This window comes from Homo sapiens, chromosome 19 (assembly GCF_000001405.40).
Source record: "Homo sapiens chromosome 19, GRCh38.p14 Primary Assembly".
NCBI lineage: Eukaryota > Metazoa > Chordata > Mammalia > Primates > Hominidae > Homo > Homo sapiens.
Window position 1 is genome coordinate 52901230 of NC_000019.10, and position 23578 is coordinate 52924807.

Consider the following 23578-nt stretch of genomic DNA (forward strand, 5'->3'; position numbering starts at 1 on the left):
ACTATAAAATAATAGGACTGTAGCAATCTTTTGTCTAACTTCAGTGACTTGATGTAGATACTGGAAACAGTTCTTTGTCTGAGGAAGGTCAGTTGAAGTCCTTACTGTACAAGTCTAAATTTTAAGGAAAATGAGTCCTGCGATGAGTTTCTTCCTGCTTCAGTCGTGCGTGGACCAGTCAGCTTCCGGGTGTGACTGCAGCAGGGCTTGTCATCTTCTTCAGAGTCACTTTGCAGGGGTTGGCGAAGCTGCTCTTATCTACGTACAGCTCCTAGTCTACTGATGTTTAAGGGTGGTCTCAGAGGTTGGGCCCACTAGAATAAACTGAGTCCAGCACCTCTAAACAGTTATGTTTAACTGGGCTCTTTGATACTAGGAGTAAGGTGGCGGGGTTAGGGTGTTGCAAACTTCAATGGTTATGTGGGGATTTTCACAGAGCAAGCTTTGGTATCTAGTTAGTCTAGCGTTTATTAGCTAATGATGTCTTTTGTTATTTATTAAAGGGACTTTATGTTTATGTTTTGCCTAAGAGTTAGCTTATCTGCTTCTTGTGCTAACAGGGCCATTGCTGCCAGGGCCCTTGGACATGGGGGCCAGCCTTGGGAAACCTCGTCTAGTTGTTTTGAGAGTCAGGCTACTGGCCTTGGCCAGGGCCTTACAGTCTGGGTTAAAACTTCAACTGCCATTTTTTTTTTTCTTTCTGACACATAGAGTGCAAAGAGTTTTGTCAGGTCAGGTAGCCTCAGGGCTGGGGCTGACATGAGTTTTTCTTTTTTTTTTTTCTGGTTGATGAAATACCAGGGTGAAATGGACTAAACCATAAGTGCCACTCTAGTTATTCGGCAGAGTGCCTACTAAAGGTCTACTACAATACCACCACACATCTGCTCAGAGATGAACAAGGGCTGACCGATTGATAAGCTCTTGAAAATTCTTAAGCTCACTGCATCCTTTCAGGTCTCCAAGGAATGCTAAATCTCCTCTCTGCCGTGAGATACAAGAAGTGAACTTAGTATTGGGAGACGGAAGCTGGAAGGCCCTCGGGGGCTGATCCGCAGGGACTTCGGGATATAGCAGAGAGAGCTATATGTTACTCCAGGCTGTAGAATCCTGGAAAAGAGCTACCATGCAGCCCACACCTGGTCAACTACAGGACCACCTTAGTGGAAGGGGGACAATCAGGGCCTCTGGCCTGCCATGTGCACAAGCATAACAATTGCTTTTGTTTAATGTGCAGATGGAATATTTGATCTATTTCAACCAGGCATTTGCATCTTGGTATGCTGTCTCAATTGCCAAAGTTTGTTTTAAGTCTTTAACTTCTATCATCCTCTAGTAAAATGAATGCTTCCTTTAGCACCGATTTTTATTAGTTTTTAGACCAAAGAAAGCTGAACACCATTTTATATTTAATAATGCTTCTTGTATGATTTTTATACCAGATAAGCTAAATTTTACTTTTATATTAGTGTGTTACTAATGTTAAATTTAATTTTAATGAAACTTTGTAGACATATTTATCTAATTTTTCATGTTTGACCATAAGGTTAGATTTTGTAGACTCTTTTTAACTTTTTGTAATTTTTGTTAAAGAGCAGGTTGATGCTTTAAGAAAAAACCTGTTGCATTTTTACTTTGATGTCCGTTTCACAGAAAAACTGGATGATACCTTTTTAACTTTAGCTAATATGTTTACACACAGAATTTTCTTTACAATTAATGTTTTAAAACTTGCTTAAACTTTCAAACAATAATTTTTTTAACTTTTTAATATAGGTAAAAATCCACATTCTTATGCCTCCTTATAATCTTTTTACTATAGGTATATTTTACTTTTCTTATACACCTTGTACATAAACTGTTTCTTCAATAATAGGAGGCCTTATTACTTTTAAATTATACATTTTTTGCATAAAAAAATTTTTTAAAGCAAACTTTATGTCTTTGGACTAGACTGTCTAAGGCTACCAGATTAGAAGTTACTATAATACATGCTACGCTGTTAACTTTTAGCAAACTTCACTTTTGTTGAAAACCTTGTAAGTTTGGGACTTCAATTATCCTTTGCTATTAATAAGACCTTGTTTAGTCTAAATTAACTTAGAATTGGTATAGATGGCCTCTTTTTCTCTCTGCTGGTCTTTTCTTGCCTCTGCCAGCCACTTATGCTGCTGTTCTTTTAACTACTGTGGGGGGCGGGGGGAGGAGGTCTAAAACCAGGTGTAACTGTCTGTGTACTGAAACTGGTCTGGGTGCCTTGGCTTACAGGTTACCTTGTGCCATATCTTTGAAACTAGGGACCCATCCAGGCTTCCTTCTGATGGCTAACCTACCTCAAATGCTGGCCAGTCTATTTCACACAAAGTTCTAAGTTTTCCTGGGGTCACAGTTACACCATAATCTCCTTTAAATTCTTTCTTGAAATTCTTTAACATATTTCTTAGTGGGGTGGGCTTACTTTGTGCCTGAACTATGTTTTTTTTTTCTTCTGAGACAAAATGCCATGCTCACACCACACATACTCACCACAAGAATGGGTAAAGAGGGCACACACACGCACTTTTACCGTTTATACCAAACCAAAATCATGAAATTCAAAATCTGAGTACTAAAAAATTCAAGCCAAGTCAAAACCAAAACTAAAGTATCTAACAATTCAAATCAAGTCAAAACCAGAACAAAAGTGCCAATGCAGGCATGCTGTGGGTGATCAGGCCACGCTTCCACTCAGATGGAGTGGGGCAAGTTCCAAAGACTAGTCTTACTAAGTAAAGCCAAGTCAAAACCAGGACAAAAGTGCCAATACAGGCATGCTGTGGGTGATCAGGCCACGCTTCCACTCAGGTGGAGTGGGGCAAGTTCCAAAGATTAGTCTTACCAAGTTTCAGATGTCTGGACTCCAAGTGCCAGTTCCTTCCTGGTGTTCAGCCACTGCGTTAATCCTCCGTGGGGGCCTGCTATGCACCGCTCTGGCGAGGCATTCCATTGGGGCAATTTCCTACCCAGGAGCGCTCTTTGGATCGTGTCACTCAGGCTGGCCAGAGTCCCCCGCGGGGATGCTCCACAGGGCAGGCCTAAGCCACCTAAAGGGCTGCCTCGGCCATCCATCAGTTACCTCATTTTCAGGTCAGGGAACCAAGAAAAGTAGCAGGATGAGCCTCAGACAAAACCTCTCAGACACTGAGTTGCAGAAGGAAGGGCTTTATTCAGCTGGGAGCATCGGCAAGCTACTGCCTTAAAATCTGAGCTCCCCTAATGCACAATTTCTGTCCTTTTTAAGGGCTCACAACACTAAGGATTTCACATGAAACGGTCGTGATTGATTTGAGCAAGCAGTGGGTATGTGACAGGGGCTGCATGCACCGGTGTTCAGAGTGGAAAAGAACAGAGCAGGGAGTTTCACAATGTTCTTCTATACAATGTCTGGAATCTATGAATAACATCAGTTTCTAAGTTATGAGTTGATTTTTAACTACTGGGTTTAGGCCAGGCAGGCCCAGGCCTGGTTTCAGGCCTGGCGCCGGGCTGCCTGTCTTTGATTTCACTTCCTTGTTTTTTTCCTAAAACAGGTACTGAGTATAAAACAATATAAAACAATATGAGAGGGTCTCTCTCTTCCCTCAAAACTACTAAATAAATTCAGTGGATTTGCACAATACAATATCGGCACCAAAAATTACTTGAATTTCCACACATTAACAATAAACAATTTTAAAAGAAAATTTAAAAACACTTCCATTTGCTAGAGAACTTAAAGTAAGAAATACTTAGGAATAAACGTACAAAGCTGAGAAGTTTGTACCTTGAAATCTATAAATGTTGATCAAAATGATTAAAAACATACATAGAGATACAACCCATATTGATAGTTTGGAAAAATTAATATTGTTAAGTAATTATATAACCCAATGTGATTTAGATTCAACACGGTACCCATAAAAATGCCTATCAGTTGACATTCCACCACAAAAGAAGTGAAATTGGCTGGTCCCTGCCTTAACTGATGACATTACCTTGTGAAATTCCTTCTCCTGGCTCATCCTGGCTCAAAAACTCCCCCACTGAGCACCTTGTGACCCCCACCTCTGCCAGCCAGAGAACAACCCCCTTTGATTGTAACTTTCCACTACCTACCCAAATCCTATAAAACGGCCCCACCCCATCTCCCTTCCCTGACTCTCTTTTCGGACTCAGCTTGCCTGCACCCAGGTGATTAAAAAAAAAAAAAATCTGTATCTGTTTTTGTTAAAGAAACAAAAAACAGGCTGGGAAAAGTGGCTCACGCCTGTTGGCCACACTAGTCTCAAACTCCTGACCTCAAGAGATCCACCCACCTTGGCCTCCCACAGTGCTAGCATTACAGGTGTGAGCCACCGCACTCAGCCTAATCCTCTTAACATAAACACTTTAATGTCAATTAATGCTTGAACTCAACGTTAAGTCAACTCAAACTCAAGTCAATGCTGAACTGACTCTAGTGTCAATTAATGCTTGATGGTTTGCTATACTCATTGCATTCGGAACTATTATCTCAAAAATAAATTTTCTGATATTCTGCAAGGAGTGATCTCAGACTGAAGACCTTGCCACACTGATGACATTTGTAAGATTTCTGTCCAGTATGGATTCTTTGATGTCTAATGAGGTGTGAACGTGAAGTAAAGGCTTTGCTCACAATCATCACACTTGTGAGGTTTCTCTCCTGTATGAATTCTCCTGTTTTGCATAGGATGAAGCTTGACTGAAGACCTTGCCTCAATCATGACATTTGTAAGGTTTCTCTCCAGTATGAGTTCACCCATGAACTACAGCGTATGAACGATGTCTGAAAAATTTGCCACATTTACTACACTTGTAAGATCTCTATTCATTATGGATTCTTCAATGATTTGCAATGGTTGTAGCGTTACTGAAGACTTGGTGACAATCATTACATTAGTCAAGTTTCCCTACACCATGGATTGCCTGATGGTGAATAAGTGTTGACTGTGCACGAAAGGCTTTGCCACACTCACTACACTTGAAAGGTTTCTCTCCAGTATGAATTCTAGTATGTTGTGCCAGGTGTGAGTAACACTTGAAAGCCTTGTCACAAACCTTACATTTGTATGGTTTCTCTCCAGTGTGAACTCTCTGATGTTGTGCAAGGTATGAATCACGCCCAAAAGCCTTGTCGCAAACCCTACATTTGTATGGTTTCTCTCCAGTATGAACTCTCCTATGTATTTCAAGGTGTGATTTGATATTGAAAACTTTGTCACATTCTTCACATTTGTAAGGTTTCTCTCCAGTATGAAGTCTATGATGACATGCAAGTTGTGACTGTGTCCTAAAAACCTTGCCACATTCATTACACTTGTAAGGTTTCTCTCCAGTATGAAGTCTATGATGATATGCAAGGCTTGATTTGTGATTAAAACTTTTGCCACATTCATTACACTTGTAACGTTTCTCTCCAGTATGAATGACCTTATGCATTACAAGAGATGAATTTTGAACGAAGGTCTTGCCACACTCATTACACTTGTAAGGTTTCTCTCCAGTGTGAATTACAGTATGTTGTGCCAGGTGTGAATCACGTCTGAAAGCCTTGTCACAAACCTTACATTTGTATGGTTTCTCACCAGTGTGAATTCTCCTATGTCTTTCAAGGTGTGATTTGCGACTGAAAACTTTGTCACATTCTTTACATTTGTAAGGTTTCTCTCCAGTATGAAGTCTATGATGACGTGCAAGGTTTGATTGTTGATTGAAAACCTTGCCACATTCATTACACTTGTAAGGTTTCTCTCCAGTATGAATTGTCTTGTGAACTAAGAGGGCTGAATTTTCACCAAACGTTTTGCCACACTCATTACACTTGTAAGGTTTCTCTCTAGTGTGAATTACAATATGCTGTGCCAGGTGTGAATCATGTCTGAAAGCCTTGTCACAAACCTTACATTTGTATGGTTTCTCACCAGTGTGAATTCTCCTATGTCTTTCAAGGTATGATTTGCGACTGAAAACTTTGTCACATTCTTTACATTGGTAAGGTTTCTCTCCAGTATGAACTCTATGATGACGTGCAAGGTTTGATTGTTGATTAAAAACCTTGCCACATTCATTACACTTGTAAGGTTTCTCTCCAGTATGAATTGTCTTGTGAACTAAGAGGGCTGACTTGTCACTGAACGTCTTGCCACACTCATTACACTTGTAAGGTTTTTCTCCAGTATGACGTCTATAATGACGTGCAAGGTATGCTTTTTTATTAAAAACCTTGCCACATTTATTACACATGTAAGGTTTCTCACCAGTGTGACATCTACGATGGTGTGCAAGGTATCGCTTCTGATTAAAGTCTTTGCCACATACATCACATTTATATTGTTTCTCTCCTAGATGAATTATCTGATGTTTTTTAAAGAGTGAGCTACAATTAAAGGATTTGCCACTCTCATTAAATTGGAAAGATTTTTCTTTCCTGTGTACATCCTGTTTCTGTGTGAGTAATGAAGAATGGAAGAAATTATTCCCATAGTTATTAGAAATATGGGTTTTGGGCCTACAAGAAATTCTTTGGGATGTTGAAACTGAGGAAGCATTGTTGATAGACTTCTCAAGTTGATTACCAATTTTCCCTTCGGGCTGAAATATGTGCAGTTCAGGCAGATGTGAATGAAAGCTTGATCCAAGCTGATATTTAATAGGCTTGTTTCCAGCATGCCTTTGATCATATTGGTCTGTACTACCCGTCAACTCTTTGATTTCTGTCATGGGTGCTTCATGGCCATTTGTTTCATCTTCTTGCCACTGAAACACAAAGTCATGAATGTCTTTCTCAATTTCCTGGAAGCAACATTCTCCAATGTGATGACTTGCCAGTCTTTGCAATGTCCCTGTGTGGATCACTTCTGTATTGCCTTTCCCTATTGATGAGAACTCCATCATGCATTTGGAAGAGATATCTACAAAATATAAACGCCAATAGTTTTCCAATTCAGTACAGATAATATATAATACTGAAACGTGTAAATATGACACCAAAAACAATACTTATTTTAAACATCTCAAACATGAGCTTCAAAGTTCAGGAACACAAAAGGAGGAAGATCCTTTAATAAATGAAGGGCGATTACATGTACTTCAGATCATTTCTATGGAAGCCTATTTCTAATATCATGACAAAACACTGACAGGGCACAAACATGTGTAAGCCTAAAGTAAGGAGTATTTTTCCATTGTGACCTTAAAGTGTGTCACAGTTTGCAAAAAATTTATCACTGTAACAACAAAAAGAAGAAAATATATATTCTTCATATTTACAGCATATTTACTGTATAGAAATAAATGCTAAAGGACCGGACAATGTACTATATTGGTAAATAATCAACAACAAGCTCTTGTAAGGATAACCAAAATCAATGGAAATCCTGTACTGTCAAACCATCACAGCACAGAGAAGATAATAAAAGATTACAAAAATTAGCCAGGTGTTGTGGCCCGTGCCTGTAATCCCAGGTACTCGGGAGGCTGAGGCACAAGAATCACTTTAAGCCAAGAGGCAAAGGTTGCAGTGAGCCAACATCGCACCACTGCACCACAGCCTGGGTGACAAAGTGAGACTCGAGTCAAAAAAAAAAAAAAAAAAAAGGCAGGGCTTGGTGGCCCACACCAGTAATCCCACTACTTTGGGAGGCCGAGGCAGGTGGATCTCCTCAGATCAGGAGTATGACCAGCCTGGCCATCGTGGCAAAACCCCGTCTCTACTAAAAATACAAAAAGTAGCCGGGCGTGGTCGCGGGAGCCTGTAATCCCAGCTACTTGGGAGGCTGAGGCAGGAGAATTGCTTGAACCCGGGAGGCGAAGATAGTGGTAAACTGAGATCGCACCACTGCACTCCAGCCTGAGCAAAAAAGTGAGACTCCATCTCAAAAAAAAAAGAAAATGTTAATACCATATTTTTCTGAATAACTGTTACAAAATTACCTATATCCATGTGGAACAGGCGCTTTGTAACTTTTTAAAAAAAATTTTTGTATTTTTTTTTTTTTGAGATGGAGTCTCGCTCTGTCACCCAGGCTGGAGTGCAGTGGCACAATCTGGGCTCACTGTAACCTCAACCTCCTGGGTTCAAGCGAGTGTCTTGCCTCAGCCTCTTGAGTACCTGGGATTACAGGCACACACCACCATGCCCAGCTAATTTTTAAATTTTTAGTAGAGATGGGGTTTCACCACGTTGGCAAGGCTCGTCTCGAACTCCTGACCTCAGGTGACCCACATGTCTCAGCCTCCTAAATCCTGGGATTACAGGCATGAGCCACTGCGCCCGGGGGCACTTTTGACATTAATGAGTGGAATCTCTCAGTTATATTGCATACCACGTACCAAAAACTCACATGTAAAATCATAAAATCAATTAATAAAATATATTATTAATTCATTAATCAAATAATAAAATACTGTAACCCATGATAAAACAAGCAAGAAAATAAGTAGATTTATACTGCCTGCAGAATTCTAAACAATTCCCTCTTAAGAAAAAAACCACAACTTGTTCTTACCACCAGTACACAACATAAGAACAGAAATACATGTTAAGATCACTACCTTCTAATATATGAGGTCAAGAAAATACACAGCATTATAAGGAATAAGAATTGACTATGGCCAGGCATGGTGGCTCATGCCTGTAATCCCAGGACTTTGGGAGGCCAAGGCGGGTGGATCACCCAAGGTCAGGAGTTCTAGAACAGCCTGGCCAACATGGTGAAACCCCGTCTCAACTAAAAATACAAAAATTAGCCGGGCGTGTAATCCCCACTACTTGGGGGACCCGAGGCAGGAGAATCACTCGACCCTGGAAAGCGGAGGTTGCAGTGAGCATAGACTGCACCATCGCACTCCAACCTTGGGGACTAGAGCGAGACTTCGTCTCAAAAAAAAAAAAAAAAAAAAAAAAAAAAGAACTGAATAACACCAGGGCGCGGTGGTGCATGCCTGTAATCCCAGCACTTTTGGAGGCTGAGGCAGGTGGATCATGAGGTCATAAGTTCAAGACCAGCCTGGACAACATGGTGAAACCCCATCTCTACTAAAAATACAAAAAAAATTAGCTATGCATGGTGGCGGGTGCCTTTAATCCCAGCTACTTGGGAGGCTGAAGCAGGAATCATTTGAACCTGGGAGGCGGAGGATGCAGTGAGCCGAGACCATGCTACTGCACTCCAGCCTGGGTGAGAGAATGCGACTACATCTCAAAAAAATAAGATAAATAACTACTTCTCAAATAAGCTTTGGTAGATGTGGTATTCTCTAATAGGATGTTGCTGCAGATGCAGACTTGGAGAGAATTTAGCCATGGGTGTTGACTACCTGTGAATACTAAAAGTGCATTTATAAAGAGACATTAAAGAGCTCATTGCCTGTTCCTCTTTCCACCATGTTAGGACATGGCAGGAAGATGGCTGGGCTAAACCATGAAGAAGCCTCTCACCAGGAACTTATTTGGCTGGCACCTTGCTCTTGGATTTCTCCCTTCCCAAATTCATGAAAAATAAATTTCTGTCTCTTAAGCCTCCCAGTGTAAGCTATTTCCTCTTTTGTCTTTGAGATTGAGTCATGCTCTATCACCCAGGCTCAAGTGTAGTGGCATGATTCTCCTACCTCAAGTGATTCTCCCTCCTCAGCCCAGAGTCTCACTCTGTCACCCGGGCTGGAGTGCAGTGGGGTGATCTTAGCTCACTGCAACCTCCACCTCCTGGGTTCAAGTGATTCTCCTGCTTCAACCTCCCAAGTCTGGGATTACAGGTGCACAGCACCATGAACAGCTAATTTTTGTACTTTTAGTAGACACGGGATTTCACCATGTTGGCCAGGCTTGTCTCGAACTCCTGACCTCAAGTGATTGGCCCGTCTCAGCCTCCCAAAGTGCTGGAATTACAGGTGTGAGCAATTGCACCTGGCCCATTTTTGGCATTTAGTATATTTGAGGTTTCACCATGTTGTACAGACTGGTCTCAAACTCCTGACCTCAAGCAATCTGCCCACCTTGGTCTCCGAAAGTGCTGGGATTAGAGGAGTGAGCCACCACAGCCAGCAGTCTAAGCTATTTCTTTTTGTTTTCTTTTCTTTTTTTTTTTTTTGAGACGGAGTCTTGCTCTGTCGCCCAGGCTGGAGTGCAGTGGCATGATCTCAGCTCACTGCAACCTCCATCTCCCGGGTTCACGCCATTCTCCTGCCTCAGCCTCCTGAGTAGCTGGGACCACAGGCGCCCGCCACTATGCCCAGCTAATTTTTTGTATTTTTAGTAGAGACGGGGTTTCACCATGTCAGCCAGGATGGTCTCGATCTCCTGACCTCGTGATCCTCCCACCTTGGCCTCCCAAAGTGCTGGGATTACAGGCGTGAGCCACCGTGCCCAGCATCAGTCTAAGCTATTTCTAACAGGACAGTGAAATGACAGAAACAGGAAAAAGAGCATCTTATCATCAACATCACCGAAGGCTGACAAATCTTATTAAACAAAGGAAGTTAAGAGCCTGTGCTGTAAGACTTGCAATAAATGAAGTCATCTAATAGCAGTAACATATTTTATTTTATTTTATTTATTTTTATTTTTTTAAGATGGAGTCTCACTCTGTCGCCCAGGCTGGAGTACAGTGGTGCAATCTCAGCTCACTGCAAGCTCTGCCTCTTGGGTTCAGGCCATTCTCCTGCCTCAGCCTCCCAGGTTGCTGGGACTACAGGCACCCGCCACCACACCCTAATTTTTTGTATTTTTAGTAGAGAAGGGGTTTCACCGTGTTAGTCAGGATGGTCGCGATCTCCTGACCTCGTGATCCACCCGCCTCGGCCTCCCAAAGTGCTGGGCTCACAGGAGTGAGCCACTGTGCCCGGCCTTTATTTTTATTTTTTTTTGAGACGGAATCTTGCTCTGTCACCCAGGCTGGAGTGTCGTGGCAAGATCTCGGCTCACTGCAAGCTCCGCCTCCCGGGTTAGCGCCATTCTCCTGCCTCAGCCTCCCGAGTAGCTGGGACTACAGGCACCTGCCACCGCGCCCGGCTAATTTTTTGTATTTTTAGTAGAGATGGGGTTTCACCATGTTAGCCAGGATGGCCTCTATCTCCTGACCTCGTGATCCGCCCCCCTCGGCCTCCCAAAGTGCTGGGATTACAGGCATGAGCCACCGTGCCTGGCCAGCAATAACATATTTTAAATACATTGAGACAGGCCGGGCACGGTGTCTCATGCCAGTAATCCCAGTATTTTGGGAGGCTGAGGTGGGAGGATCACGTGGTCAGGAGATTGAGACAGTCCTGGCTAACAAGCTGAAACCCCATCTCTACTAAAAAAAAAAAAAAAAAAATTAGCCCAGCATGTTGGCAGTCACCTGCAGTCCCAGCTACTTGAGAGGCTGAGACAGGAGAATCGCTTGAACCTGGGAGGTGGAGGTTGCAGTGGGCCGAGATCACACCACTGCACTTTAGCCTGGGTGACAGACTGAGACTCTGTCTCAAAGAAAATAAAAATAAATGAAAGAAGGCTAAAGAGTAACTCCAACCCAGAAGCATATACAAAGTTCTCCAGTAAAGGTAAATTAAAAAACAGATAGGCCGGACATGGTGACTCATGCCTGTAATCCCAGCACTTTGGGAGGATGAGCCAGGCAGATCAACTGAGGTCGGGAGTTTGAGACCACCCTAACCTACAAGGAGAAACCCTGTCTCTACTAAAAATACAAAATTAGCCGGGTGTGGCGATGCATGCCTGTAATCCCAGCTACTCCGGAGGCTGAGGCAGGAGAATTGCTTGAACCCGGGAGATGGAGGTTGTAGTGAGCCAAGATCGCAACATTACATTTCAGCCTAAGTGATGAGAGCAAAATTATGTCTCATAAACACATAAATTAATTAATAAAAGGACAGATACAGAAACTGGCATATGTGTACCTTTTCTTCATAACTAAACTTTTTTCATATTATTTAAAAGTCATGAAAAAACACTGTAAATATATGTTAATGAAAATGCAACATATACAGAAATAATTCTGGCATAAATTTAAAAAGTTCTACTGGAGAAGAAGTAGTTTTTGCAGGTTATGGATTCTTTTTTTTTTTTTTTTTTTTTTGAGATGGAGTCTCACTCTGTCACCCAGCCTGGAGTGCAATGGTGCGATCCTGGCTCACTGCAACATCCACCTCCCAGGTTCAAGTGACTCTCCTGGATCAGCCTCCTGAGTAGCTGGGATTACAGCTGCCCACCACAGTGCCTGGCTAAGTTTTGTAATTATACTACAGATGAAGTTTCAGCATGTTAGCTAGCCGGGTTCTGAACTGACCTCAGGTGATCCGCCCCCGGCTCAGCCTCCCAAAGTCCTGGGATTATAGGCGTGAGCCACTGTACCCGGCCAGGTTACAGAAATTTTAAGTTTCATTATTATACTATAAGTTTAAGATGTTTAACATACCTGCAACAATAACCTCTGCCCATATATCTATACGACACACTTCACTTCTGCGTACTGAAAGGAATGGACACTAACGTGGTTGTTATATTCACACTGGAATCATGCTTAAACCACTTATATGTTTACTAAGAACTAAAAGACAAAACTATTTAAAATAATAACGGTTGGGCATGGTGGCTCACGCCTGTAATCCCAGCCCTTTGGGAAGCTGAGGCAGGTGAATCACTTGAGATAAGGAGTTTGAGACCAGCCTGGCCAACATGGTGAAACCCCATCTCTACTAAAAACACAAAGTTAGTTGGGCATGGTGGTGAGAGCCTGCAGTCCCAGCTACCCAGAAAGCTGGGGCACAAGAATCCTTTGAGCCCAAAAGGCGGAGGCTGCAATTAGCCAAAATTGCACCACTGCACTGTAGCCTTGGCGACAGAGTGAGACTCTGTCATAAGAAAAGAAAGAGCAGAGAGATAAGTGAGGGCAAAGAAAGATGTCCTTTCAAAGATCTCAGGATTGAAACTTTCCTTTACCCACAGAATTCTCCCACTTGCAGAGAGTTTCCCCACACACTATTTGAAGGTGGAGCTTCCACTCTGCCCATCTGAGCTCTTACCTGCGTTTACACCTGTAATATATTCCCACCCATCTGGACTTTTTTGCTATTTTCACTTCACTCTCCACAGTCCAGGGCTCTTTCCCTTGCTCCAACATGGAGATAACAGGTCAGAGACTCCTACTTATAAAAAGAAAGGACCATGAAGTGCTGGAGCTTTTCTAGAGTCCCAGCCCTATGTTTCAGTAGGAAAGAAGACATTGCAGATAGATCTAGGAAAATATTTCTCAAATTCCTCCACTGACTGCCTCATTCTGAATGCTTGGGGAGCACTGTAATATGTAGTATGTGGACATCGAGCTCTCTTCCAAGAACTACAGAATCGAAAGCACAGGAGAAGCAAACAGGGAACTGGATATCTTTAAACTCTGCAGTAAGGTTTTGTTTTTGTTTTTTGAGACAGAGTCTTGCTCTGCCATCTGGGCTGGAGTGCAGTGGTGTGTTCTCGGCTCACTAGAACCTTCACCTCCCGGGTTTGAGTGATTCTCTTTCCTCAGCCTTTCTAGGAGCTAGGATTACAGGTGTGTGCCACCATCCCTGGCTAATTTTTGTATTTTTAGTAGAGACTGAGTTTCTCCATGTTGGCCAGGCTGGTCTCCAACTCCTGATCTAAAGTGATCCACATACCTCCCAAGGTGCTGGGATGACAGGCGTGAGCCACCATGCCCAGCCTGCCATAAAGTTTTATGCCTACTTTAGTCCTGGAACCCACATTGAGGTATCATGAAGAATGCAGAACATCTAAACAAAGGGGACAGTGAAAGTCCAGATGCTACATCATGAAGCTTTTCATTTCAAAATCAATACAGCTTCCATTTTAGTCAAGCAAGGATGCAACTCCCAAGAGAAACAAGAGAAAATGCAAAGATCCACAAGGGAACATCCCCAGGAAGGAAGTTATCCTCACCCAGGGAGACCAGGTTCCTATAATTCTCCAGCATCACGTCTCTGTATAGAGTCCTCTGAGCAGGGTCCAGGCATTTCCACTCCTCCTGAGAGAATTCTATGGCCACATCCCTGAATGTCAATAGACCCTGAAATGAAAACACATTTTAACCAAATGGTTATGAGAGGAGATCTTATCTTTACAGAAAATGAGAAGAAGAGAGGGGAAAGCATGGATTTAATTGTAGTGAATGTTCTGACAAATCCGAGTAAGGGATTCTTCACCACATGATGTATTTTTTTTCTTCTTTTTCTGTTTGAGATGGAGTGTCGCCCTGTCGCCCAGGCTGGAGTGCAGTGGCATGATCTCGGCTCACTGCAAGCTCTACCTCACAGGTTCATGCCATTCTCCTCCCTCAGCCTCCCAAGTAGATAGTACTACAGGCATCTGCCACCATGCCTGGCTAATTTTTTTGTATTTTTAGTAGAGATGGGGTTTCACCATGTTGGCCAGGATGGTCTCGATCTCCTGACCTCGTGATCTGCCCACCTCGGCCTCCCAAAGTTCTGGGATTACAGGCATGAGCCACCATACCCGGCCTCACATGACGTCTTTATTATACTTTTTGAAGAGGTCAAGACACCCTGTCAGTATGAATTTCTTATGTTTGTAAAAAATATAAGAAATAAATAAAAAATCAGTGCAGGGTTCCTGCTATAGAAATGTTTGAAACTTTTATGGACACACCAAGTGACATTCAGTATCTCGAAGAGACAGAGCATGAGTGATGTCTTCACAGATGACAACGTCCACAGTAAAAGATCAGCCAGGTGCAGTGACACATGCCTGTAGTCCCAGCTATGTGGGAGGCTGAGGCAGGAGAATGGCTTGATCCCAGGAGGCAGAGGTTGCAGTGATCCCAGATCACGTCACTGCACTCCAGCCTGGGCAACGGAAACTAGGTCTCAAAATTAAAAATAAAAAATCAGCCGGGCATGGTGGCAGGCACCTGTGGTTCCAATTACTTTGAAGGCTGAGGTGGGAGGATGGCTTGACCCTGAGGGTAGAGGTTGCAGTGAGCTACGATCATGCCAGGGTGCTCCAGCCTGGGCAACAAAGTGAGACCCCGTCTCAAAATAAAATAAAATACATGAAAACAAACTTACTCAAAGTACAAAATCCATTTTTTAAATGTTCACAAAATAATAAAACCTACACAGACTCACAAAAAACTAGATGTTAATACAAAGGGTTGTCATTTGTCCCAGATTTTCAAAATATAAAAGATTTTCAAAATATATATGTGTGTGTACATATATATGTGTATGTACATGTGTGTGTGTACCTATATATGTGTGTGTATATGTGTGGGGATGTGTGTATATATATTATATACATACATACACATATATATGTATTATATACATACATATACATATACATATATATATATATATATATATATATAGGTTTTAAATATATAAAAAGTAGCAAGTTTTGTTTAAGTGAAGAGGAATCTCACCTTGGCGGAAAAGGACACATTGACAACTGGGGGCTGGGGGGAATCTTGTCAGATCTAAGAAAACAGGAAATGCCCCATCCTAGAGGAAGCAATCACCCTTTCAACTGCCTGGCCTGGAGGATGAAGAATCACTTGAACCCGGGAGGCAAAGTTTGCAGTAAGCCAAGATCATGCCACTGCACTCCAGCCTGGGTGACAGAGCAAGACTCCGTTTCAGAAACAAACAACAGAAATAATAATAATAGGTGGAATGAGAATATAGCTTTATCCTCTAGAATAAAAAAAAAGTACTGCTCCCATATTTGAGAAAAATTGTAATCATTTTTACCAAAAGCCTGTTTCACGAGCCTCTCCATAGTAACACCACTGTCTCCATGAGCGTAATATGCTAAGAATGGTTGAATGAATCTCCTGCTATTATTTATGTTGATTCCATATTCTTAACATAATGATGGAATCATTCATGTATCATTCATTTCCATTATATTTATTTATTTATTTAAGACAGAGTTTTGCTCTTGTTACCTGGGCTGGAGTGCAATGGTGCAATCTCAGGTCACTGCAACCTCCGCCTCCCGATTTCAAGTCATTCTTCTGCCTCAGTCTCCTGAGTAGCAGGGATTGCAGGCACACACCACCATGCCCAGCTAATTTTGTATTTTTGCTAGAGACAGGGTTTCTCCATGTTGGTCAGACTCACTCAATTACCTAAAAATGTAGTTTAATATCAGGCAGAAAACATTTCCTCTTATCGGTCTTTTCTAGAATTTACCATGTTCTTTGTGCACATTAATATGTGACTTCCATTGGCAGCTACTCTAATCTTGGTCCACAGAAAACTGACAGTGCATCCAGATGCGGCCCTGAACAATCCCTGCCGCCCAACACCACTGACACCATAGGACCCTCACCCCGTCTCCATCCATGTCTGTGTGTGAGCCCTTCCCAGGACCATGCCTACTGCAACCTCTTCTCATGTTCATGTCATTGGGTCACGAGAGATGGAATCTAGGTGAGATGAGAGGGACTGAGGGAAGGCATGGGTGAGTGTGAGCAAACCTGTCACGCAGGATGCTTCAGACTCAGAGAAGTTTCCCAACTCCAAGGCCCAGCATTTCTGAAAGGAAGGAGACAGAACAATCCACAGAGAATATCATCTCACCTGAGGAAGAGCCATCCCTGACTCCTTTGCTTTCCTCTTCCTCTTCTGAGTTTCTTCTTCACATACCCAGAGTCTTTAGAAGTCAATCATGAATGTTAGAAATATGTTGTTTATTGCTCAGAGTCAACATACCCCCTCCCTGTAAAACAACGACACATACAAAGGAGACCTCACCCTGGGAAATATGGTCCACTCTGCTGCCCACCATACCAGGGACAATAAACTCCTATAGGAAAACTCCCACTCCCCTTCTGGAGAAGCCCACACACACGCTGCAGCAGTAGGGATCTGGGCTGGAATGAGCTCCCCTTCAAGGCACAGACCCAGACCTGACCAAACCACTTGCAGAGGCTGGGTGCGGTGGCTCATGCCTATCATCCCAGCACTCTCGGAGACCAAGGTAGGTACATTGCTTGAGCTCAGAAGTTTGAGACCAGCCTGGGCAACATGGTGAAACTCCTTCTCTATCAAAAATACAAATACTTAGCCAGGTATGGTGGTGCACATCTGTGTTTCTGTCACCCCAGCTACTTAGGAAGCTGAGGTGGAAGGATCACTTGAGGTCAGGAGTTTGAGACCAGCCTGGCAAACATGGTGAAACCCTGTCTGTACCAAAAATATAAAAATTGGGTCAGGTGCAATGGCTGAAGCCTGTAATACTAGCACTCTGGAAGGCCAAGGTGGGTGGATTACTTGAGGTCAGCGTTCAAGACCATCCTGGCCAACGTGGTGAAACCTCATCTCTACTAAAAATACAAAAAGTAGCCAGGCTTTGTGGGCATCTGTAATCCCAGCTACCCAGGAGGCTGAGGTTGGAGGATCACTTGAACCTGGGATGTGAAGGTTGCAGTGAGCCAAGATCACACCATTGCACTCCAGCGTGAGTGACAGAATAAGACTCTAAAATAAAATAAAATACAAATACAAATACAAAAATTAGCCATGTGTCGTGGCACACACCTGTAATCTCAGCTACTTGGGAGGTTGAGGCACAAGAATCACTTGAACCCAGGAGACAGAGGTTGCAGTGAGCCAAGATCATGACAGTGCACTCACAGCCTGGAGGACAGAGTGAGACTCTGTTTGAAAAAAAAAAAAAATCTCCCTCTCCCTCCCCCTCCCTCTCCCTCTCCCTCTCCCTCTCCCTCTCCCTCTCCCTCTCCCTCTCCCTCTCCCTCTCCCTCTCCCTCTCCCTCTCCCTCTCCCTCTCCCTCTCCCTCTCCCTCTCCCTCTCCCTCTCCCTCTCCCTCTCCCTCTCCCTCTCCCTCTCCCTCTCCCTCTCCCTCTCCCTCTCCCTCTCCCTCTCCCTCCTCTCGCTCTCCCTCTCCCTCTCCCTCCACGGTCTCCCTCTGATGCCGAGCCAAGGCTGGACTATACTGCTGCCATCTCGGCTCACTGCAACCTCCCTGCCTGATTCTCCTGCCTCAGCCTGCCGAGCGCCTGCGATTGCGGGCGCGCGCCGCCACGCCTGACTGGTTTTCATGTTTTTTTTGGTGGAGACGGGGTTTCGCTGTGTTGGCCGGGCTGGTCTCCAGCTCCTAACCGCCAGCCTCGGCCTCCCGAGGTGCCGGGATTGCAGACGGAGTCTCGTTCACTCAGTGCTCAATGGTGCCCAGGCTGGAGTGCAGTGGCGTGATCTCCGCTCGCTACAACCTCCACCTCCCAGCCGCCTGCCTTGGCCCCCCAAAGTGCCGAGATTGCAGGCTCTGCCCAGCCGCCACCCCATCTGGGAAGTGAGGAGCGTCTCTGCCTGGCTGCCCAGTCTGGAAAGTGAGGAGCGTCTCTGCCCGGCCGCCATCCCATCTAGGAAGCGAGGAGCGCCTCTTCCCCGCCGCCATCCCATCTAGGAAGTGAGGAGTGTCTCTGCCCGGCCACCCATCGTCTGAGATGTGGGGAGCACCTCTGCCCCGCCGCCCTGTCTGGGATGTGAGGAGCGCCTCTGCTGGGCCGCAACCCTGTCTGGGAGGTGAGGAGCGTCTCTGCCCGGCCGCCCCGTCTGAGAAGTGAGGAAACCCTCTGCCTGGCAACCGCCCCGTCTGAGAAGTGAGGAGCCCCTCCGTCCGGCAGCCACCCCGTCTGGGAAGTGAGGAGCCCCTCTGCCCGGCCAGCCGCCCCGTCCGGGAGGTGAGGGGCGCCTCTGCCCGGCCGCCCCTACTGGGAAGTGAGGACCCCTCTGCCCGGCCAGCCGCCCCGTCCGGGAGGGAGGTTGGGGGGTCAGCCCCCCGCCCGGCCAGCCGCCCTATCCAGGAGGTGAGGGGCGCCTCTGCCCGGCCGCCCCTACTGGGAAGTGAGGAGCCCCTCTGCCCGGCCACGACCCCGTCTGGGACGTGTGCCCAGCGGCTCATTGGGGATGGGCCATGATGACAATGGAGGTTTTGTGGAATAGAAAGGCGGGAAAGGTGGGGAAAAAATTGAGAGGCCGGGTGGTTGCCGGGTCTGTGTGGATGGAAGTAGACATGGGAGACTTTTCATTTTGTTCTGTACTAAGAAAAATTCTTCTGCCTTGGGATCCTGTTGATCTGTGACCTTATCCCCAACCCTGTGCTCTCTGAAACATGTGCTGTGTCCACTCAGGGTTAAATGGATTAAGGGCGGTGCAAGATGTGCTTTGTTAAACAGATGCTTGAAGGCAAAAAAAAAAAAAAAAAAAAAAAAAAAGAAAAAAAAAGAAAAGGAAAAAAAAAAAAAAAAGGAATTATTTGTCACTTACTGTCTCTCTAAGGGCAGCCATTGTAAGACCTCAAAGAAACTTTAGCCTCCACAATCTTTTCTCTTAACCTGAACATTTCCTTTCTATGGATCCCAGGTTTTTAGACAAACTCAACCAATTGTCAACCAGAAAATGTTTAAATTTACCTATAGCCTGGAGGCCTGCCCACCACCCCTTTGAGTTGTCTCGCCCTTCTGGACCAAACAATGTCTTTCTTTAATGTATTTGATTGATGTCTCCTGTCTCCCTAAAATGTATAAAACCAAGCTGCGCCCCGACCACCTTGGGCATGTGTTCCTGGGACCCCCTGAGGCTGTGTCACAGGTCAGGGTCACTCATGTTTGGCTCAGAATAAATCTCTTCAAATATTAAAAAAAAAAAAAAAAAAAAAAAAAAAAAATCTTCATTTCTGATGTGGTTGATGCAGAGATAATAAACCTGAGTAACGTGATAGAGACTGATGGGCAGAGGGAACTTCAGATGGCAGTGGGAGGACATGGGAGATATCTCTGAGCCTAGATCTGAAGGAGGAGAAAGGGACAGGGCTGTCACCATTTAGGGACATAGGATAAGAGCAGGACAATGACCTGAGACAGGAAGTATTTTGATATCTGGGAAAAGAGAAAAGCAAATGTGACTGGGGCAGAGGGATTCATGAGATGGGGGCAAGCTCCCAGGAGGAGGCTGGACACTGGCAGGGGCCCTGGACACAGGGCTGTGGAGCCACAGTGAGGAGATGGGCTTTTGTCCTGGGGAACACAGGAAGCCAGTGGAGGGTTCCCTGCCAGGGAATGACATGACTTACTTTAGATTTAGCTGTGATGTCCTCACAGTGAAAACATTTTCACCGAGTTACCCTGAGAAGGTCTGAGATGAGTAAGAAGATGTGCCTGAATTCTTACATGGGGGCCTGGAAGGGCTAATGGGAAGGGTTGGTCTTTATCACCCCATCCTTGAAAATTAGAGAAGCATCTTTCACATACCTGGGCTAAAGAAACTTCTTTTGCAAGGTTCTGATGCCATTAATTCCTAACATTTAATTTTTCCTTACAAGAAAATTACAGTAACATTTACAAAATGCAAAAGTGTAAACACACAGCTATTGACCTTGAAAATAGGGAGGCCGAGGTAGGTGGATCACCTGAGTTCAGCAATTGTAGACCAGCCTGACCTACATGGAGGAACCCCGTTTCTACTGAAAATACAAAAATTATCCAGGCATGGTGGCGAATGGCTGTAATCCCAGCTACTCAGCAAGGCTGAGGCAGGAGAATCACTTGAACCAGGGAGGTGGCGATTGCAGTGAGCCAAGATCGTGCCATTGCACTTCAGCCTGGGCAACAAGAGCAAAACTGCATCTCATAAAAGAAAAGAAAGAAAGAAAGAAAGAAAAGAAAACAGGGAAAGAGAGTCAGCTGTTGAACTAAGACAGAAGTAACTTTTTTCATTCAAGAATACATAGGTGGCCAGGTGTGATGGCTCACACCTGTATTCCCAGCACTTTGGGAGGTCGAGGCAGGTGGATCACCTGAAGTCAGGAGTTTGAGACCAGCCTGGCCAACATGGTGAAATCCTGTCTCTACTAAAAATACAAAAATTAGCTGGACTCCATCCACAGCTTATTTAACCTCTTGTTGCTCCTTTTCCCCAATCTTTAGATTGTTCTCAATGTCCATAGATTTCCACCTCTTCTCCCATCTCTCCTGAGCTCTCCCTGTTAAATTCTCTCTTCCCCGTTATACCCCCCTGGCCCCACTCTCTGGCACCCCAGATTTCCCAGGTGTCCTCCCTGCTGTGGTTCTCCCTCTGTTCTCCTTGCCACCAGCACCACTCTGCTCTGTCTGCCCTGGCTCCAAATCCCTCCTCCTCTCCCTCATTCTCATGAGCCTTTCTGTTTGCTGCCCCTCTCCCTACCTTGCTGTCTGTCCTTCATCTCTCTGTACATCCAGCTTTTCTCTACATTTCTCCAGTTGCTTTTCTCCTCCTGCTTTGTTATCTTTTGTTTTTTCACTTTTGCTGTCTCTTGGCAAATCCCTGACCATCCCCTACTTTGCCATCTGTTATGGGTCTTTCTCCTTCTTCTTTTATCTGTCTCAGGTTTTCTACTGCTCTCTGATTCCCTCTCTCTGTCTCCTGATCCCTTTGGCCCACACAATCACAGGAGGGTTTGGAGTAAGACGCCTGCATCCCAGAGAAGCGCATTTTCCAGGGGCTGGAGCTGGGCAGGCAAGAACACCCCGTGTCACAGGACAGGCCCCGGGTACCTCCCCAACGCGGGCTCAGGGAAAGCGGTGACTGCGGAGGGGAGACTTGGGGAGCAACAGGGCCCGGCATGAGGAGGGAGGTGGGGGGGAGATGACGCCTTCGGACAAGGGTGGGGTCCGCAGGATCCCACCACCGGGCAGAGAACGCGGCCTCCCTGGGACTGTGGTGTCAGCGCTGGGCTCCAGGGGCCGACGAGGGTGAGGCTGGGAAGCGCCAGAGCAGGGATCCACCTCTCGGGTGAGGACTTTAAAAAGCGCGGGGTGGGAGGAGTCAACAAACGGTTGTGAACGGGAAAACTACGCGATACAAACTGTATACATTGCCCTATAGCAAAAAGACCGAGGACAGGGCAGCCTCAGGGCGACTTTAAACCCAAAAGGAAGTGACTTCCGGACTCCTAGGGGAATGTCTCCATTTGCTCTTGTTGAAGGAAGAAGGGCGAGAATTTCCAGGTCTGTGGAGACCCCACATCCCAGGTACAGAATTGCCGGGGACCTGGAGGCACAGCCTCAATACAACACAGAGCAAAACTCACCGCCGCAGTGTGACTTCCAGTCCACGCGATCCGCTTCCTGGTCCGGGCGAATCTACAAGCACAGGACAGAAGCCAGGCCTCCGTGGAGCCAACGAGGTGGGCGGGGCCTGGGCGAGGTAGGGGCGGGGCCTGGGCGAGGTAGGGGCGGGGCGCCAGGCGGAGAGACCTGCCCTGTAGAACCGGCAGACGCGGGGCGGGGGCGGATCTGTGCTTCTCTCAGCCGCGTACCTAGCCGCTGTTTTTCGGGTTTTGGTGAGGGAAGAGACAGACCCTCTCATATTGTTTTATATTGTTTTATACTCAGTACCTGTTTTAAGAAAAAAAACAACAAGGAAGTAAAACCGAAGACAGGCAGCCCTGCGCCACGCCCAAAACCAGGCCTGGGCCTGCCTGGCCTAAACCCAATAGTTAAAAATCAACTCATAACTTAGAAACCAATGTTTTTCATAGATTCCAGACATTGTATAGAAGAACATTATGAAACTCCCTGCCCTGTTCTGTTTCTCTCTACCAGTGCACGAAACCCCTGTGTATATATCTGGGACTGTAGTCCCTGTTACGTATCCCCTAGATTGCTCAATCACGACCCTTTTATGTGAAATCTTTAGTGTTGTGAGCCCTTAAAAGGGACAGAAATTGTGCACCCGGGGAGCTCGGATTTTAAGGCAGCTTGCCGATGCTCCCAGCTGAATAAAGCCCTTCCTTCTACAACTCGGTGTCTGAGAGGTTTTGTCTGTGGCTCGTCCTGCTACACCGGAGGCAAGAGTGGCCAGGAAGGCTGAGGCATGATTCAAAAGCCCTGGAATTGTCTGGAACAGGGATGCAAACTAGAACGTGAAATGCAAAGCCCTGCCTAGGCAGAAAGTACGATCTCATGCTGATGGTACACAGAACAGAATAGAAATCTCTCCCTTTCTATTCTCCATTTGCTTCGGAGGGAGAGTCCACCCTGTGCTCAGCTTCAGAGACTTCCCTAGGGCCACCGCCTGGGATGCCGGAGGGAGTGTTCAGGCCAGGGAGGAGTGAGGTCACCACCTGCTACTTAAACACAGCAGAAATGTGGAAGTGGGGGCGGGAGCCTGAGGTCCAGCTACTCAGGAAGCAGTGGCGGGAGGATCATTGAGCCCGGAGGTCCAAGCCAGCCTGAGTGACAAAGTAACACCCCCTGCCGCAGGGATCCCTTCCTCATCTCTTTTTTTTTTAATTTTTAAAATAAAATTTTCATTGTGTGAGATAGGGATCCAACTTTATTCTTTTCCATGTGGATATCCAGTTAGTTGTCCCAGCACAATTGTGGATGACATCTATTAGTTTCTTTTTTTTATTTACTTTTTTTTCTTTTTCTTTTTTTTTTTTGAGACAGAGTATTTCTCTGTCACCCAGGCTGGAGTGCATTGGCAAGATCTCGGCTCACTGCAGCCTCTGCCTTCTGGGTTGAA

The 23578-nt window shown here is 45.2% G+C and overlaps 2 protein-coding genes and 1 long non-coding RNA gene across 10 annotated transcripts in view, besides 5 other annotated features; 1 reads left to right on the forward strand and 2 right to left on the reverse strand.

Annotated features, from left to right (window-relative positions):
* ZNF320 (zinc finger protein 320) overlaps window positions 1-3091 on the reverse strand; it is a 44830-nt gene extending 41739 nt beyond the window's left edge. Inside the window, exon 1 of the mRNA XM_047438305.1 lies at window positions 2879-3091. The gene's annotated coding sequence lies outside the window, so the exon portion shown is untranslated. The remainder of the gene's footprint in view (window positions 1-2878) is intronic.
* Window positions 3092-3185: 94 nt separating this feature from the next.
* ZNF888 (zinc finger protein 888) lies at window positions 3186-22199 on the reverse strand. Of its 8 annotated transcripts, NM_001384654.1 has the most exons (6): window positions 22140-22199; window positions 17590-17708; window positions 16630-16702; window positions 15993-16175; window positions 13967-14093; window positions 3186-6950 (listed from the first exon to the last, which is right to left on the reverse strand). In NM_001384654.1, exons 5-6 carry the CDS (start codon window positions 13998-14000, stop codon window positions 4936-4938), a joined length of 2049 nt encoding a protein of 682 aa, NP_001371583.1. In that variant the 5' UTR covers window positions 14001-14093; window positions 15993-16175; window positions 16630-16702; window positions 17590-17708; window positions 22140-22199; the 3' UTR covers window positions 3186-4935. The 8 variants fall into 8 exon arrangements, with proteins under 8 accessions (NP_001371583.1, NP_001371584.1, NP_001371581.1 ...); NM_001384655.1 differs by lacking the exon at window positions 17590-17708; NM_001384652.1 differs by lacking the exons at window positions 15993-16175; window positions 17590-17708 and adding an exon at window positions 16379-16475 and having other exon boundaries at window positions 16630-16768.
* Window positions 21127-21860: an enhancer, noted in NCBI's record as "H3K27ac hESC enhancer chr19:53425609-53426342 (GRCh37/hg19 assembly coordinates)". NCBI's record gives its function as "activates a minimal SCP1, AML or CMV promoter by ChIP-STARR-seq in naive H9 embryonic stem cells {active_cell/tissue: H9 hESC(naive)}" and the evidence as "EXISTENCE:reporter gene assay evidence [ECO:0000049][PMID:30033119]".
* Window positions 21861-22592: an enhancer, noted in NCBI's record as "H3K27ac hESC enhancer chr19:53426343-53427074 (GRCh37/hg19 assembly coordinates)". NCBI's record gives its function as "activates a minimal SCP1, AML or CMV promoter by ChIP-STARR-seq in naive H9 embryonic stem cells {active_cell/tissue: H9 hESC(naive)}" and the evidence as "EXISTENCE:reporter gene assay evidence [ECO:0000049][PMID:30033119]".
* Window positions 22082-22131: an enhancer, noted in NCBI's record as "active region_15060". NCBI's record gives its function as "activates an Ori minimal core promoter by ATAC-STARR-seq in GM12878 lymphoblastoid cells {active_cell/tissue: GM12878}" and the evidence as "EXISTENCE:reporter gene assay evidence [ECO:0000049][PMID:35858748]".
* On the forward strand, window positions 22120-22850 carry ZNF888-AS1 (ZNF888 antisense RNA 1). The gene is made up of 2 exons (NR_186336.1): window positions 22120-22235; window positions 22444-22850. It is a non-coding gene; the product is annotated as a ZNF888 antisense RNA 1 (long non-coding RNA).
* Window positions 22272-22321: a silencer, noted in NCBI's record as "silent region_11000". NCBI's record gives its function as "represses an Ori minimal core promoter by ATAC-STARR-seq in GM12878 lymphoblastoid cells {active_cell/tissue: GM12878}" and the evidence as "EXISTENCE:reporter gene assay evidence [ECO:0000049][PMID:35858748]".
* Window positions 22412-22581: an enhancer, noted in NCBI's record as "active region_15061". NCBI's record gives its function as "activates an Ori minimal core promoter by ATAC-STARR-seq in GM12878 lymphoblastoid cells {active_cell/tissue: GM12878}" and the evidence as "EXISTENCE:reporter gene assay evidence [ECO:0000049][PMID:35858748]".
* Window positions 22851-23578: the final 728 nt, after the last annotated feature.

Excerpts from the sequence above, each read along its gene's own strand:
- ZNF888 (XM_047438803.1), bottom strand. The coding sequence starts at position 16,450 with ATGAACATGAGAAGAGGTTGCAGTAGGCATGGTCCTGGGAAGGGCTCA. Across the intron at positions 14,094-16,378 it reads CAGACATGGATGGAGACGGG|GGTCTATTGACATTCAGGGA; the intron begins GTGAGGGTCCTA and ends TTTTCATTTCAG. Across the intron at positions 6,951-13,966 it reads TAGGAACCTGGTCTCCCTGG|ATATCTCTTCCAAATGCATG; the intron begins GTGAGGATAACT and ends TATATTTTGTAG.